The 12,328-nt window shown below is 45.3% G+C and overlaps 1 annotated feature.

The window, feature by feature from the left end:
* Positions 6,715 to 7,216: an enhancer, noted in NCBI's record as "NANOG hESC enhancer chrX:106943730-106944231 (GRCh37/hg19 assembly coordinates)". NCBI's record gives its function as "activates a minimal SCP1, AML or CMV promoter by ChIP-STARR-seq in primed H9 embryonic stem cells {active_cell/tissue: H9 hESC(primed)}" and the evidence as "EXISTENCE:reporter gene assay evidence [ECO:0000049][PMID:30033119]".

Genomic DNA, 12,328 nt, shown 5'->3' with positions numbered 1-12,328 from the left:
GGCTAGCAAACTACATGACCTTGGACAAGTCATTGGCATCTCTAGACCTCGGTTTTCCAATCTGCAAAACAAGGTGGCTATACACGATCGTTTCTAAGTCAAGTGCTTAGTGGGTACTGGGGCCAGGAGGAGTCCTCTGGCTGTGAGACTCCTACATGTTACCTCTTTGTTCTAGGCCTCAGCTCTGCTTCTAGCCCCCAAATTCTACTCATCCTCATATCTAGCTCTTATCCAGTTACCCTGTTTGAAGAAGGCTGAGGAAATAGCCACTTTTAAAGATGGATACGTGGCCCAGCACCCACAAGACTCCATGCAATTTTGGAGAGGAAGAGAATCACCTACAGCCTTATTTCTTCCCTTTTTATTTCCCCTTCTTTTCCTTCCTTCCTTCCTTCCTTCTTTCCTTCCTTCCTTCCTTTCTTCTTTCTTCTTTCGACGGAGTCTTGCTCTGTAACCTAGGTTGGAGTGCATGGCGCGATCGGCTCACTGCAACCTCTGCCTCCCAGGTTCAAGTGATTCTCCTGCCCCAGCCTCCTGAGTAGCTAGGATTACAGGCGTGCACCACCACGCCTGGCTAATTTTTGGATTTTTAGTAGAGACAGGGTTTCACCATGTTGGTCAGGCTGGTCTCGAACTGACCTCCTGATCCGTCCGCCTTGGCCTCCCAAAGTGCTGGAATTACAGGCATGAACCACCACCCCCGGCTCCTTCCTTTCCTTCCTTCCTTCCTTCCTTCCTTCCTTCCTTCCTTCCTTTCTGTCCTTCCTTCCTTCCTTCCTTCTTCCTTTCTTTGTAACACAGTCTCATTCTGTCGCCCAGACTGGAGTGCAGTGGCACAATCTCAGCTCACTGCAACCTCTGCCTCCCAGGTTCAAGCCGTTCTCTTCCCTCAGCCTCCCCAACAGCTGGGATTACAGGCCTGCACCACCACGCCCAGCTAATTTTTATATTTTTAGTAGAGACAGGGCTTCACCATGTTGGCCAAGCTGGTCTTGAACTCCTGACCTCAGATGATCCACCTGCCTTGGTCTCCCAAAGTGCTGGGATTATAGGCATGAGCCACTGCACCTGGCTTCCCCCCTTTTTCATTTCAGGAGCCACTTCTGATTGCTCACATTGTGACAACACACTTAGAAGCTCTGGGGTGCCAAACTAGAATGGGAGGGAGGTGGGTGGATTCCATGGGTAGGAAGAAATAATAGGTTTGCCTTTGAAAGACTTGTGATTGATGCAGATACATGGAGAGGGCAGGAAAGGAAAGAGAAAGAGATGACTGGGAGGTGGGTGGGTAGGGGAAGACAAGAGCTAGAAGAGGAGGAGCAGGAGCAAAGAGGGCAGCCCTAGCTCACTGCAGCTTCCTCAGCTGGGCTCCTCTGTTGTTCCTTTGCTGTTCCACTGGTCAACTTGCTGCCACCACCTAAGGAAAAAACAGGACGAATTAACCACCAAAGACTGAGTCTGTAGGTCCTGAACTCTTCCAAACATCTCTACTTTGCTGTCCACTGCAATCCAGAACTCTGTCATCTCAAGCGCAAAACTAACCTAACCACCGTGCAAAGGCATCTTGAGGCACAATCGATGTCCTAGTGAGTTAAGTTCACATCTGGGATCAGAATAGAGAGTAATACACCATTAGAGCTGGACAGGGCTCTAGAGATCATCTGTCCCCACCCCCTCACTTCCCACCTGAGAGCAATGAGGGCCAGACAGAGAAATAGGCAAGTCCCAGCCCCACACACACAGTCAGCAGCAGGGCCAGGACAAGCCCTCTGACGTTACACCCTCTACAAATAACTTTGCTGTAAAATGAGGGGTTGGACCAGGGCCCTGCGATAATAGTTCGTCACCTTAGCCGCACATTGAAATCACCTGGGGAGAGCTTGGAGAAATCCTGAATGCTGAACCTCATCCTCAGAAATGTTGATAAAAATTGGTCTGGGATTGAGGCCTGGGCATAGGTGATTCCTGAATGATATGTGAGGATTATTCTAGTCTTGACATCCACATCTGTTCATTCATTCATTTAACAAACATTGGCACCTATTGTGTGTCAGGTACCCTGTGAGGCACAGGGGTGAAACAATGACCAGGTCATACTTCGCCTCTGTGCTCCTGGAGCTTATTTCATGTTTTCCAATGGTGAGAGCAGATGAAAGACAGAATGCGGAGTTGGCAAGGCAGAACAGAGCACACTGAGAGTAGCCCCTGCTCTCTCCAGACCTTATAGGTTCTCTCGGCCTGCAGAGCACACGTGTTCTGTGTTCTGGTCTGCTCTTACAGCCCTGCAGTAACTTTAGTGGGGCAGGCTCATCCCCTACTGGGGAGGCGTGTGCTTGTCCACCTATGGCAAGGACAGTATGGCTAAGTCTTTCTAACTGGACAGAAGTGCATATTAGCAAGTCTGTTCGGCTGCACCCCTACTCCTTTTTCTCCAAATAGCCTTATGATTGCTAAAGGTAATATTCTTTTTTCCTGTCTGGCTTGCGTGTGTGTGTGTGTGTATGTGTCTTGATTGATTCTGATTTCAGGTAGAAGAAAATAGGTGCTATTTATCAGCGACCTCAAACTCCAGAACATTCTATCGGAGATGGGCAATATCCTAAGGCCCCTTCTCAGTCACCTTAGCAGGCTTCTCTTCCCCTATTTGGAGTGTCTCTGAGCTCAGCTCTGTCCTCTCTGTACTCTCTCCCTGGTCAGTTCCATTTACTCCCAAGGTCTTAAGAAACATTTGCCATGCTAATGACTCCCAAATTTGTATCTCCAGTCCTAAGCATTCACCTGAGCTCCAGACTCCAATATTCAACTGTCTCCTTGACAGCTCCATTTGTTTGTGTCACAAGTATGTCAATATCTGCATGACCAAAACCAAAGTCCTGACTCCCACCTCCCCCATTGTATCCCACCTTGGTGTTTGGCACCACCACCTACATAGCTGCTGAAACCAGAAATCTTGATTCCTCCCCCAACCCTTAGCTCCTACATCCAATCCATTACCCAGTCTGGTCCACTCAACTTCCACAACACACCTCGAATCCCTCCACTTCTCTCTAGCCCCCTTCCCACTCCCTGATCTAAGTCACCCTCATCTTTCACACAAAGGCAAAAGCCTCGTTGGTCTCCCTACCTCCACACTGGACCCTGTCCAATTCCACATAGCAGCTAGAGTGACCTCCTTCTTAATGCAAAATCAGATCATGGCATTCCCTTGCTTTAGGCTTGTCAGTGGCTTATCATTGTACTTAGTAAAGTCCAAACTCCTTCCCATGGCCTACAAGTGCCTGCGTGATCTGGCCTCCACTGACCTCTCCAGCCTTTTCCCGTGTCACTCCCCTGCTCTTACCAAGTTCCAGCCCACTGAGCTGCTTTCATTCCTCAAATACTCCTCAGAGCCTTTGTGTGTCTGGTTCAGTCAGCCCAGAACCTTCCACCAGCACCCTCCCCTGACTTTGCTTCGCTGCTTGTTCCAATCCTTGGGCTCTCCTTTCCTCTGAGACATCTTTGCCCGTCACTCTGTCTAAATAAGTTTTCTCCATTACCTTTGTTTTGTTGCATTTATCCCAGATTGTAATGATTTGTTCACAAATTTTTGCTGTTTCTGCCTTGCCACTCTGGAATATCCCTGTGGGCAGGACCCATATCAATTTTGCTCAACACTATATCCTCAGAGCTGAACACAGTGCCTGATACTTGCTGATCAAAAAATAAATTTCTGGGGCCAGGCGTGGTGGCTCATGCTTATAACACTAGCATATTGGGAGGCCGAGGTGGGTGGATCACCTGAGGTCAGGAGTTCGAGACCAGCCTGGCCAACATTGTGAAACTGCATCTCTACTAAAAATACAAAAATTAGCCGGGCGTGGTGGTACACACCTGCATTCTCACCTACTCAGGAGGCTGAGACAGGAGAATGGCTTGAACCCGGGAGAGGTGGTTGCAGTGAGTTGAGATCCCACCACTGCACTCCAGCCTGGGTGACAGAGTGAGACTCTGTCTCCAAATAAATAAATAAATAAGGCCAGGCGCAGTGGCTCACACTTGTAATCCCAGCACTTTTGGAGGCCGGGGCAGGTGGATCACGAGATCAGGAGTTCAAGACCAGCCTGGCCAAGATGGTGAAACCCAATCTCTACTAAAAATACAAAAATTAGCCGGGCGTGGTGGCAGGCGCCTGTAATCTCAGCTACTCAGGAGGCTGGAGCAGAAGAATCGCTTAAACCCAGGAGGTGGAGCTTGCAGTGAGCTGAGATCGTGCCACTGTACTCCAGCTTGGGCGACAGAGTGAGACTTCGTCTCAAAAAAAAAAAAAAAAAAAGAAATAAAGAAATAGGCCGGGTGCGGTGGCTCATGCATGTGATCCCAGCACTTTAGGAGGCCAAGGCAGGCGAATCACGAGGTCAGGAGATCGAGACCGTCTTGACTAACATGGCGAAACCCTGTCTCTATTAAAAATACAAAAAATTAGCCTGGCGTGGTGGCACGCGCCTGTAATCCCAGCTAATTGGGAGGCTGAGGCAGGAGAATTGCTTGATCCTGGAAGGTGGAGGTTGCAGTGAGCCAAGATCGTGCCACTGCGCTCCAGCCTGGGTGATAGAGCAAGACTCCGTCTCAAAAAAAAAAAAAAAAAAAAAACACGAAAGAAGGAAGGAAGGAAGGAGGGAAAGAAGGAAGAAAAAGAAAAATTTCTGGGAGGTTCACATGCTATAGTAGTCATGGATTGGGGAAGACATTTTTGGGTAGGGACAGTGGGGTGGGAAAGCTTTCCCAAATTCTTTCATATCACCTAAGTAAACTGGTGGCCTGTTGATTATTTCCATTATGAAAACATTGAACTGTTTATTCTGTCAATTAGACAGAGTCTCGTTCTGTCACCCAGGCTGGAGTGCAGTGGTGCGGTCTTGGCTCACTGCAACCTCGGCCTCCTGGGTTCAAGTGATTCTCGTGTCTCAGCCTCCCGAGTAGCTGGGATTACAGGTGTGCACCACCATGCTGGGCTAATTTTTCTATTTTTAGTAGAGACAGGGTTTCACCATGTTGGCCAGACTGGTCTCAAACTCCTGACCTCAAGTGATCTGCCTGCCTCGGCCTCCCAAAGTGCTGGGATTACAGGTGTGAGCCACCACACTCAGCCTCTGTTAATAATTTTTAATTTAACCTATCCTATGTGCCAGGCACCAGGCTAAGCACTGGGGATACTGTGGTAAATCTGAGAGACATGTACTGGTCTTCATGGGGCTTACTATGAAGGGAAATTGTACTATGAAGGGAAATTGCCTACAGTCTACTAGTATTCCTGTGCCTCTTGACTAGGGATCCCCCACTCCATACGTAAGACATTCCAAATGCTTACTTTTCCCTATATCCATATTTTAACCCATAAAACCCTAGACCATTATCTGGATCTGTTTGTCAAGCCATAGTCTCATTCTCGGGGTGGGGGTGGTATAGTATGAGTTAGGATTAGCCCTGGCTGTAATAACAGCAAAAATAATAACAGTTGCTTTAAAAAGATAGTTTATTCATCTCTCCCATCAGAGAAGTCTGAAGGTACACAGTCCAGGGTTGATAGGGCAGCTCTATAAAGTCACCACAGACCCAAACTTCTTCCTAGTTGCTGCCTACTGTATTTAGCATATTGCCTCATTGTCTGAGATGGCTGCTCAAGCTCCAGTCATTGTATCCACAATCTAGGCCACAGAAAGGAGGAAGGGGAAGAAAGATGGCTCCTCCCTTTTAAGAAAGCTTCCCAGACATACTGCACAACACTTCTGCTTATAGCTCATTAGCCAGAATCTAGTCTGCCCACTCCTAACTAAAAGAAGGGCTTTCTTGAACTGAGTACATTGCTAGCCCCAAACAGATTCAAGTTTCTGTTATTAAGGAAGTGAAGAACAGACATTGGAGTAGGCAACCAGCAGTTTCTTCTTCAGGTGTTTGGATATATTGAGAGATGAAAAGGAGGGAGAAGAAGAAATGAGGAAGAGAGCACAGGAAAGAGCTTCTCAGGCTCTGTGACCACTGACTTCTACACAGAGGGTTATGCCTACTCAAGCAGGTCAGAGCTGGCTGACAGGTGTGGCCATATGCTTTGGGAACACAGTGAAAAGAGCACATCCCTGAGGGTTGGGGGAGTGTCCCTGCTGCTGCAGAGCTGTTTTGCCAGAATGGCCCAGGCAAGGGGGATCTCAGGAAATGACCCGAGAGGCCTCTTACTAAAGAAATTGCAGAAACTGGGAGCCCAGACTATGCTCTTAAATGTCTTTATGGAGGCAAAGGGGATAGTGATCCTTAAAATAGGCAGCCTCAGGTCAAAATCTGCGGCCCTGATATCCAAAGTCAAAATTCTAGAAAAGATCCTCTTAGTTTTTAATGGCTATAAAAGGAACATCAGCACAGAATCTTCAAATCTTGGAACTGGGAGAGGGCGGGTGGGACTGGAACTGGGTGGGAGGTAAACCACTTCCCACCAATCACACTTTCTTCCACCCTGCAGTCTCACATTCAGGACAGACAGGCTGTGTTGAGAAGATGTTAATTTGAGGGAATTATTTTTTATGGGAATGTAGCTTTTTGCAAAGCTAAAAGATTTTTTTTGTGGGTAAAAATTATTCAGTAACACCCATTTCCTCAAATGTAGGATTACAGGATCCATTTCAACAGTCTTCAACCTTGCTGAAGAGCAGTTGCTAACCTTATAGAGAATGACATAGACAGCTGAGTATCACTGAGGGCCAAATCATTCCCCATAAGTTCTTTCTCCTTCTCCCTCCAAAGGCATCAATATCATCTTGGCAGTGTCTGCTCTGAAGAAGGTCAAAGCATATGTTTTGTTGTTGTTGTTGTTGTTGCTGTTGTTGTTGTTTGCCTTTAGCAAAAGGCAAGGGGCCCTTTAGAACTCCTTTGGTCTTGGGGGCTACCAATTGAACTCTTCTACTTCGAGTTGTTTTTGAAGGTCCTATAGCTTGATTACCTTCAATCTCCCCCGTTGAGCCTGTGAAATGGGACACCAGGGCATTGTTACAAACCGCTGGGGAAACTAGGACTTAAAACATTTTTTTCCTGCCTCTGGGCAGGGCTCATGCTGGTGCCAGGCAGAGATATGGACGTTTGTCACCTGATCCTGCCCATCCAGTGAGCAAGAATTACTCAGGCAGAACACAACTCTTGCCCCTCCCACAAATGCTGAACATTCTGTTTTTTGCTCTTAGGAAGAAACTGGTAAATAACTGCATTCTCTTCTCCCAGTTGTACACCCCCCTTCTTTGCAAAACCAAGGAATTGGGTCACATTACATAAGTCTATGTGGTTTCAAAGGGCTGAACACTGAGATTCAAATTGTTGTCACACACACATGTTGGAGCACAGCCTGTGCTCTCCTGGATAACACGAAGAAAAGCTGCTGAGTTCCAAAGTTTGACAAGTTGATTTTCCATATACTTCCGATCATTCTAATCCATGTAATCTATTTGAGTTCCTCTCCCAGAAAGGCATTAATCTCTCTTAGGAGTACTTAAAACTAGCCCAGACAGGTAACCCATTTGAGTAGGGAAGGGGAAAGTTACCAGAAATCCCTGCCATCAAATTATCAAAGTCAATCCCTTCCTTTTGTAGATTAAGTCATTCAGTCATTCATTTGTTCATTCAACAAATATTTATAGAGAACCTATTATATGGCAGGGTCTTTGACAGATGAGGTTCCCAATCTCATGGAGGTTACATTCTAGTGGAGGGAGGCAGACAGACAATAGAGAAACAAACAAGAATAACATCAGATAGTAAGGAAACTGAGGCTGGGAGAGAGGAAGGAACTCGCGTGAGATCACAGTCCAGGTCTTCTGACTCTCAGTATCTTCCTCTTTTCTCTGAACATATATTAAGCACCTACCATGTGCCAGGCACAGCACTAGACACTGAGTTTATAGGATGAATAAGACAAACAAGGTTCCTCTTCCTGCAGAGTTTATAGTATAGTTAGGGAGACAAAGTGAATAAACAAAACAAAACAAAACCAAAAACAGAGAGACTTCTGGTTTCAGGCCCAGCATGTAAGGAGGTTAGCAGTTGCCACTCCATCCCAACAACAAGTAAAAAGCTGAACAAACTGAAAGATTAACAACTCTTCTTAGATCTGTCAGAGAAGTGGAATCACAGGGCGAACTGCTACCTCAAAAATTAGAGAGAAAAGCTGATATAGAGAATCACAACTTTCAAGAACAGAAATCTCTGTGGGAACCAGTGCCAGGGAGAAAATTTGAATTTTAATTGACAAATTCCTGGAGGCTCAGTGTGAACAAGCCTGAGAGTTAAAAACTCCAGGGGTAACCAGTTATGGTGGGGAGAAGGGAGGTGCCACACTTTTGTGAGTTTTACTTCCATAAGCTCTACATGTCCTTACAGTGAGTATCAGGTAGAAATATCATGCTACCTGCAGAGGGAGGGGAAAGGGTACTATTCTGAAATATGCCAGAGCATTCTGTTCTTAAAAAGGCCTGCCCAGGCTGGGCACAGTGGCTCACGCCTGTAGCCCCAGCACTTTGGGGGGCCAAGGCAGGTAGATAGTTTGAGCTCAGGAGTTCGAGACCAGCCCGGGCAACATGGCGAAACCTCATCTCTGCAAAAAATACAAATAAATAAATAAATACATAAATAAAAATTAGCCAGATGTGGTGATGTGCACCTGTAGTCCCAGCTACACAGGAGGCTGAGAAATGGGAGGATCACTTGAGCACAGGAGGTCAAGGCTGCAGTGAGCCATGATGGTGCCACTGCACTCCATGCTGGGCAACAGAGTAAGACTGTCTGAAAAAAAAAAAAAAAAAAAAAAGCCTGCTCTTAGGAAAAACTATGCCTAAGTTGGGGTTTTCTCAGAGCCTAACCAACCCAGGGGAAGGAAATCTCTAACTGCAGCTTCCTCTAGCCTTCCATGTTAGGAAAGGGAATACACAAATTCAGCCCTCTCTAGCCATCTTGTCCCACCTAAGGAGGATAGAGATTGAGAAGCATTGGTGAAGTTCACTGCCTAGGAGCACAGGCTAACTAAAAGACTAAGAACTAATCATAGGACTAGAGAGCACTTCCCCTCCCCACACACCTTACCACCACATCACTAGAGACCTATTAAACTGGTGCAAAAGTAATTGTGTTTTTTTTCCCATTAAAAGTAATGGTCAAAACCGCAATTACTTTTGCACCAACCTAAATATCTACAGCAGTTCCTTTTACCCAGTACATCATTTCCACTCATCAACAAAAAATTATGGCTGGGTGCAGTGGCTCACGCCTGTAATCCCAACACTTTGGGAGGCCGAGGTGGGCAGATCACTTGAGGTCAGGAGCTTGAGACCAGCCTGGCCAAGATGGCAAAACCCTGTCTCTACTAAAAATACAAAAATTTGCTGAGCATGCTGGTGAGTACCTGTAATCCCAGCTGCTCGGGAGGCTGAGGCAGGAGAATCGTTTGAACCTGGGAGGCAGAGGTTGCAATGAGCTGAGATTGTGGCCACTGCACTCCAACCTGGGCAACAGAGCGAGACTGTCTCAAAAAAAAAAAAAAAAAATTACAAGCTATACTTAAAGACAAAAAATATGTAGTTTGAAGAGATTGAACAAGCATAACAACTAGAGTCTGGGAGTCTGGGCTGGGTGCGGTGGCTCACGCCTGTAATCCCAGCACTTTCATAGGTCAAAGTGGGTGGATCATTTGAGGTCAGGAGTTCGAGACCAGCCTGGTCAACATGGTGAATCTCGTCTCTACTAAAAAGTACAAAAATTAGCCAGGTGTGGTGGCACGGGCCTATAATCCCAGCTACTCAGGAGGCTGAGGCAGAAGAATCACTTGAACCCGGGAGGCGAAGGTTGCAGTGAGCCGAGATCGCACCACTGCACTCCAGCCTGGGTGACAGAGTGAGACTTTGTATCAAAAACAAAAACAAACAAACAAACAAACAACAACAACAAAAAAGAGTCTGATATGGCAGGGATGTTGGAATTACCAGACTAGGGATGTTTAAAAACTATGACCAATATGCTAAAGGATTTAATGGAAAAAGGAGACAACATGCAAAGATAGATGGATATTGGTTTAGCTGCTGGTAAGGAAAAAAAGAAAAAAGAAAAATTTTTTAAAAAGATGGATAACATAAGCAGAGAGATGAAAATTCTAAGAAAGAATTAAAAAATGCTAAAAATCAAAAACACAGTAACAGAAATAAAGAATGCCTTTGATTGGCTCATTAGTAGACTAGACATGGCTGAGGAAAAATCTCTTTTTTTTTAGACAGGGTCTCACTCTGTCACCCAGGATGGAGTGCAGTGATTTGATTATGGTTCACTGCAGCCTGGACCTCCCGGGAGTACCTGGGACCACAGGCACACACCAGCATGCCCAGCTATTTTATATATATATATTTTTTGTAGAGATGGGGTCTTGCTATGTTGCCCAGGCTGGTCTCAAACTCCTGGCCTCAAGTGATCCACCCATCTCAGCCTCCCAAAGTGCTGAGATTATAGGCATGAACCAGTGCACTAGATCAACCGAGGAAGAATCCCTGAAGTTGAAGATTGTCATTAGAAATGTCCAAATCTGGGCCAGGCACCAGGTGGCTCAACGCTGTAATCCTAGCACTTTGGGAGGCCGAGGCAGGTGGATCACCTGAGGTCGGGAGTTAGAGACCAGCCTGACCAACATGGTGAAACCCCGTCTCTACTAAAAATACAAAGTTGGCCAGGCGTGGTGGTGCATGCCTGTAATCCCAGCTAACTCGGGAGGCTGAGGCAGGAGAATCGCTTGAACTTGGGAGGAGGAGGTTGTGGTGAGCTGAGATCGCACCATTGCACTCCAACCTGGGCAACAAGAGCGAAACTCCATCTCATAAAAAAAAGAGAAGAAAGAAAGAAAGAAGGAAAGAAAGGAAAGAAAAGAAAGAAAGAAAAGAAGGAAGGAAGGAAGGAAGGAAGGAAGGAAGGAAGGAAGGAAGGAAGGAAGGAAGAAAGAAACTAACTTCCAAATCTGAAAAGCAGAGAAAAAGACTGAAAACAAAAAAAGAGAACAGAATATGCAAGAACTGTGGAATAACTACAAAAAATATAACATACATGTAATGCGACTACCTGAATAAGAAGAAAGAAAGGAATGACTGAGAATTTCCCCAAATTAATGTCAGTCACCAAACCACAGATCCAGGAACCTCAGAGAATAACAAGCAGGATAAATACCCCCAATCCCCACAAAAAACTACACCTGAGCATATCTTATTCAAATTTCAGAAAATCAAAGTTAGAGAAAAAAAATCTGAAAGAAGCCAGATGCGGAAAAAACACCTTACCTATAAAGAAGCAAAGATAAAAATTACATCTGGGCCGGGCGCGGTGACTCATGCCTGTAATCCCAGCACTTTGGGAGGCCGAGGCAGGCGGATCATGAGGTCAGGAGAGTGAGACCTTCCTGGCTAACACAGTGAAATCCCATCTCTACTAAAAATACAAAAAATTAGCAGGGTGTGGTGGCGGGCGCCTGTAGTCCCAGCTACTCGGGAGGCTGAGGCAGGAGAATGACGTGAACCTGGGAGGCGGAGCTTGCAGTGAGCCGAGATCGTGTGCCACTGCAGTCCAGCCTGGGCGACGGAATGAGACTCTGTCTCAAAAAATAAATAAATAAATAAATAAAAATAAAATAAAATAAAGAATTACACCTGACTTCCCAAAAACCAAGCTAGCAAAAAGAGAGTAGAATGAAATATTTAAAGTGTTGAGAGGACCAAAAAAAAAAAAAAAAAAAAAAAAAAAAACTAACCTAGAATTGTCTACCCTGTGAAATATTTTTTTCAAAAGTAAAGGAAAAATAAAGATTTAAACAAACATTGAGGGAATTTGTAGCCAGTAGACCTGCCTTGCAAGAAATGTTAAAATAAGTTCCTCAGAGACAAGAAAATAATATAGATCAGAAATGTAATAAGTGAAGGTAAAATTTTAAAAAATTGTTTTTCTTATTATTTTTAATAAATTGTATTTTAGATTCAGGGAGTACAGCTTCTGTTGAACCTATCACCCCAGTAATGAAGAAATTACCCAATAGTTTGTTTTTCAATCCTCGTCCCTCTTCTTCCCAACCTGCTTTTGGAGTTTCTAGTGTCTATTATTTCCATCTTTATGTCTGTGGGTACCCAATGTTTAGCTCCCACTAATAAGTGAGAACATGTGGTATTTGATTTTTTGCTTCTGCATTAATTAACTTAGGATAATGGCCTCCAGCTGCATCCATGTTGCTGCAAAGGACATCATTTCATACTCTTTTATGACTGTGTAGTATTCCATAGTGCCTGGCTAGCTCAGT

Source organism: Homo sapiens, chromosome X, assembly GCF_000001405.40.
Source record: "Homo sapiens chromosome X, GRCh38.p14 Primary Assembly".
Classification (NCBI taxonomy): domain Eukaryota; kingdom Metazoa; phylum Chordata; class Mammalia; order Primates; family Hominidae; genus Homo; species Homo sapiens.
The sequence above is the reverse complement of the archived record's forward strand: the minus strand, read 5'-3'. Positions and strand labels throughout refer to the sequence as shown.